The sequence below is a fragment of the Homo sapiens genome, chromosome Y (assembly GCF_000001405.40).
Source record: "Homo sapiens chromosome Y, GRCh38.p14 Primary Assembly".
Lineage (NCBI taxonomy): Eukaryota > Metazoa > Chordata > Mammalia > Primates > Hominidae > Homo > Homo sapiens.
Window position 1 is genome coordinate 13913924 of NC_000024.10, and position 6352 is coordinate 13920275.

General features: G+C 33.6%; 1 pseudogene; it reads left to right on the plus strand.

Moving 5' to 3' along the window:
• The window catches only part of ANOS2P (anosmin 2, pseudogene), a 168317-nt pseudogene extending 162218 nt beyond the window's left edge, over window positions 1-6099 (plus strand).

The window sequence follows — 6352 nt, forward strand, 5'->3', positions numbered from 1 at the left end:
AAGAGCCCGCATCACCAAGTCAATCCTAAGTCAAAAGAACAAAGCTGGAAGCATCATGCTACCTGACTTCAACCTATACTACAAGGCTACAGTATCCAAAACAGCATGGTACTGGTACCAAAACAGAGATATAGATCAATGGAACAGAACAGAGCCCTCAGAAATAACACCGCATATCTACAACTATCTGATCTTTGACAAACCTGAGAAAAACAAGCAATGGGGAAAGGATTCCCTATTTAATAAATGGTGCTGGGAAAACTGGCTAGCCATATGTAGAAAGCTGAAACTGGATCCCCTCCTTACACTTTATACAAAAATTAATTCAAGATGGATTAAAGACTTAAACGTTAGTCCTAAAACCATCAAAACCCTAGAAGAAAACCTAGACATTACCATTCAAGACATAGGCATGGGCAAGGACTTCATGTCTAAAACAGCAAAAGCAATGGCAGCAAAAGCAATGTCAACAAAAGCAAAATTTGGCAAATGGGATCTAATTAAACTAAAGAGCTTCTGCACAGCAAAAGAAACTACCATCAGAGTGAACAGGTAACCTACAAAATGGGAGAACATTTTCACAACCTACTTATCTGACAAAGGGCTCATATCCAGAATCTACAATGAACTCAAACAAATTTACAAGAAAAAAACAAACAACCCCATCAAAAAGTGGGCAAAGGACATGAACAGACACTTCTCAAAAGAAGACATTTATGCAGCCAAAACACACATAAAAAAATGCTCACCATCACTGGCCATCAGAGAAATGCAAATCAAAACCACAATGAGATACCATCTCACACCAGTTAGAATGGCAATCATTAAAAAGTCAGGAAACAACATGTGCAGAGGATGTGGATAAATAGGAACACTTTTACACTGTTGGTGGGACTGTAAACCAGTTCAACCATTGTGGAAGTCAGTGTGGCGATTCCTCATGGATCTAGAACTAGAAATACCATTTGACCCAGCCATCCCATTACTGGGTATATACCCAAAGGACTTTAAATCATGCTGCTATAAAGACACATGCACACGTATGTTTATTGTGGCACTATTCACAATAGCAAAGACTTGGAACCAACCCAAATGTCCAACCATGATAGACTGGATTAACAAAATGTGACACACATACACCATGGAATACTATGCCATAAAAATGATGAGTTCATGTCCTTTGTAGGGACATGGATGAAATTGGAAATCATTATTCTCAGTAAACTATCGCAAGAACAAAAAATCAAACACCGCATGTTCTCACTCATAGGTGGGAATTGAACAATGAGATCACATGGACACAGGAAGGGGAACATCACACTCTGGGGACTGTGGTGGGGTGGGGGGAGGGGAGAGAGATAGCATTAGGTGATATACCTAATGCTGAATGATGAGTTAATAGGTGCAGCACACCAGCATGGCACATATATACATATGTAACTAACCTGCACATTGTGCACATGTACCCTAAAACTTAAAGTATAATAATAATAAAATTAAAAAAAAGAAATTCCATTTAACAAAAGTATTTGATAATTTTTAAAACTTGTTTGAGCAAATAAAAAAGGATTATGGTTTGATTGGATAAGTGTGAGCTTAAGGAAAAGAGCTTTTCTTCTTTTTCTTGTTATTTTATGGTTTGGGAAGGCATCAAAGAGGAAGAGAAAAACAGGAAAAGGAGAGAAGGAGTGTGGTTGTACACTCAGATTGGTAATAGGAAAGACATGGTCATAGGAAGGAACATTTGCCAGGGTCTCGTGCTTTTTCTACAAATAAAAGTAATTCTGTCATTTATTTGATACATATAAATGGATGTGACTGACATATTTTGTCACTTTTTAGGATCTCATCTTATGCATCATCATCCACATCATTACAAGCCTTCTCCAGAAAGATACTAAACTGTTCAAAAAGATTTTTTAAAATTGCACAGATGTGTAAGCTTGTTGAACTTCGGCCACAAGACATGCATACTTCCAGAGGCAGTGGTAACTGCTCAGAGGCCCGGACTCTCCTATGTGACTTTAGTGCAGGAAGAACTTCTGTCAATCACGGACGCATCTGGAGACAAGTGAGAAACAGTAGATTGGTGAAGACAGACACCAGTTCCCTACAAACATGGAGAAAATGAAGAATAGGCCTTTTTAATGCTAAATTTTGTTTTCATGTATGGTGTCGCTCATTTCTATTGAATTACAACAGAGCTCAGTTTTCCCTGAATTTGGAGCACCAAATTCTGCCCCAAAAAGTAGAGTAACAAATACACAATTCACTCATAATGCTAAGCATAAATCTAATCAATAAAATATATTTTGACTAAATTATTGATACGATATGAAAAATCAACTAAGATTATACAGCTTTGTTTATTCAAATCTTTCCTAAGATCATTTTTATCTTAGGTGATTTTTAAATGAAAATGTGTAATCTAAAATATACCAGTGAATTTAAATCTAAAAACGCTCCTACTTTAAGTACCTTATGCTGCTCTTTATGCAAAGGTAAATCAAAGTTCCCTCTATAAATTGTGATTTACAAAAGACAGCCAAGCCAAAGGAACTCAATGAAATAAGCCGCTAACCAGATTTTACCTTGGAGAAATGAAAATTATTTCTTGAGGATGCCTTTTAATATTTGATTCCATTATGTGAGAGATTTTCCTGATATGTTATCTTATTTATATTTTCCCGTATTTTCCTCAATGCTGCTAATAGCTTTTGCTGCACTTTTGTTTCACCATCTGAAAATTCACAAAACTTCTTGCTTCAAATGAAAAAATCCCAACTATTGAGCATGTTTAAATCTTTGCAGAGATTTGCCTTTTCTTAATCAAAGAAAGGTCTTTGTGTGCTAGAATATTATTGGTAATGTTTAAAAAAGGCCTTTGATTGATAGAGAAGGACAGTTATTTGCATTTAATTCACCCATATGCTTTCAAATCTATTATATCTTACTTTTTGGAAATTTTTTATGCTACAGATTAGTGCCTTGTAGCACAAACTTAAGTCAAAACATGTTATCAATATAGACTGTTGCAGTGTATATTATAACAACCTAAAACGCAGAGAAGTTTAATTTGATACTGTTTTTTTTCTTGAAGGAATACTCACATACATGGTTTGAAATGTGCATAGATATGCATGTCTATATAATTATAAATGCATGTGTATATGTATATGCAAATATATGTACATATACATATATATACACACAGACACATGCATATACATAAATATACCTTGAGCATGAATCCCTGCAGAAATCGTTTTCATAGCTCACCAATGGTGAGTAAAGATACAGCTCTTTTAAAGGTTATAAGGATAATATATTTTCCCCATCAATGCTGATTCTGAGAAAAGAGCAATTTATCAAAATTGAACACTGTAAAAGAAAGGTGTCCACATGTCTTTACCTACATAAGTAAAACAGGAAGAAAATCAGTAACATTATCCTTAGGTTTTGACAATGGTACTTGCTTCTTGTTGTTTTATTATTTCCTGAATTCATGCAGATGCCTGGCCATTCCTGGGAAGAGTGGATAACCCAGAAATCACTGTACTCCACAGAGCCTCACTGCAGTGTCTAAAAGCAGATGCAAATTAAAATGCAGGGAAAATAACTTTTCTGATGTTGATGCGTGTCATTAGGAAACACATTTATAAACATGGATACCTGATAATAGATATTGAAACCCATTTCCTGTGTGTTAAAATATTTAAAAAGTGAATATTCCAGGAATGTTTTGCAGCTTTGTACAAGTAACATAAATTGGACACCTCAGAATGAAAGTTCATGTTGGTTCTGAATGGTTCGCTGCAGCTCTTGTCACAGGCTGGGATGGATTTATCACACTGAGTTGTGAAATTACCTGGTTCTAAGAATTTTTGAGTGGCAAAAATAGAAAACAGTCTTCATTTGAAAACATCCCTAAGCTTGAATAAATGGATACCATAGATAGCTTCTCTAAAACTATGTTTTAGTCTGGTGTCATTACCAGCACCTGAATTTCAAGTTCTTAAAATTTCAAAAATTAAAATTTTTCATTATTGGCTATCCATTGATCTTTTGCATGAACTTGTCATGAACAAATCCAAATGTTTATGCCAGCAAATTTCTGTACTATTACATAGTGAAAAATGCTGGGAGTCTATACATAGATACAAAATATTATTAAATTATTACATAAATTTAATTTTATAAATTTAATCATGCTTCTTTTGTCTGGGTAATAGACATTGGACAGATATTTTTAGTTCAGATGGTGATTCTGAAGCTTACATCTCCCTTAAAAGAATCTAAAGCATCTCTTGTGGGCTTCTAATTTTGATATAAATAAATAATTTAAATTTTATTGGTGTTATTGGAAGAAAAATGCTATTAATAGGCTAGTAAAAAATGTGTTTCTCTTATGGATTTTAATAAGCTCCAGTATTATTCAAATGATCAAAAATATAGTTACAATTTTTTGAATTTTAAAAATGTGATGGCTCTAATAAAGGATAAAATCTATGCTTTTTAACAAACATAGTTTTGGTGCCTAATTCTGTAATACATTTTATTGAAATTAGATTCATTTCTCTAATGTGAGAAAAATATATCCAGTAATAGTATTGACTGTTTAAAAAATTGAGCTCATCAAAAATATTGTCATCAAATACAGGTGGTTAATTTGATATACATTGCAGTTACATGTTTTATTTTTATTTACAACATTTGCTCCTTAATGATGAATTTATCTGTGTTACCCTGTTTTTCTACCTGGAACTCCATAGAATGATGTTTGCAAACCAACATGTGCTCTTTTCAGTGTTTTAATATGAGATAGTAGAGAAGATAAGGTTTATGGCAGTAATTTTTTGTAATGTGTATTAAACGAAGTTCAAAGATTAGAAATACATCTGTGTCCTGAAAATCTTAGATACATAGCCGATTGTATACAGAGGTTCATCTCAAACTCAACACTATTGACTTTTGGGGCTGGATAGTTCTCTGTTGTGGGGGTTTGTCTTGTGCACTGTAGGTTTTTAGTAGCATCCACACTTTCTCCTCACCAGATGCCAGTTGCACCCTCCCCCAAGTTGAGACAACCAAAAATGTCTCCAGATATTGCCAGCTACTCCTTGAGGGATGGTACCTCTGGTTGAGAACCATTGCTAGAGAATGATGTTTACTGAATAGATGAGAATTTGCCCTTTATAAGAAACCCAGTAAATTTCTAGAGCAAAAACTAAGGGACAGCTAAGAAGTTATTATGGTTGACTTCAAAAGCCTCAACTGTGTCTTTTATGTCCACTAAACAACTTAATTAAAAGATGGAATTTTGACTCGTGTCTGTATCATACAAGTACAAATAGTAATTTTGCCCTATGTATGTGTAAATGTTATTTGTGATATTGTCTTATTTATTTAATGCCCTTTCTTATGCCGTGGGTTTTCAAGTTTACTCATTTCTATGGTTGCAAATAACTCTAAAACTTATTATATAAACTTTCATATTATAGGCAGAACACAATGGCTAAATATCTGTTTCATGTACTTCAAAGTTTATTATAAGATATATTATAATTATAATATATTATAATATATATATTATATATTATATATATATAATATAATATATTATAAGATATATTATAAACAGATATATAAAGATGTTGACTCTTACCTGTGATTTTGCATGGCCAGACTCGGTGTCAGGTACAGAAAGGATGGTCATGACTGTCTTACCTCTACTGAATATTTTAGCGAGTTATATGATTTACGGAGTGATTAACAGAGGTCTACATAAAGTTACTTTTCCCCTTTACTTAATTATATTGTAGTGTGCAGATAAAAAAACTACTACCTTCTCATCCAAGTGGTCTGTAGAATTCATGTTCCTTACAGTGGTCATTTAAAGTCAATATTTATTTATTTATGTATGTAATAAAAAAAGTTGGATTTTTGTGTATGTCTGTCATGTTATTTAGAGAGAAGTAATCTTGTAAAAATGTTTTGTAAAAAACAAAAAAATTGTAAATAGTCTTGATATTCTGTGACTCATTATTTTTATGTTAGAGTTTGTACAAACTGGTTCAATAATAAAGTATCCATAAACCACACCAAGGAGTCGACTCATTTATTTCTTAAAGAAACATTTTTGCTGGGCAAGTGGCATGCACCTGTAGTCTCAGCTACTCAGGAGACTGAATTAGAAGGATCACTTGAGTCCTGAATGTTTGAGACCAGCCTGGGCAACATAGCAAGGCCCTGTCTCCAAACTTAAAGAAAAAAAAAGAAAAGAAACTTTATTGAATTTAAGAAGAAAAATGGACAGTTCCTGCTGCCAAGGAGATTCAAAAGCTCTCTTTCC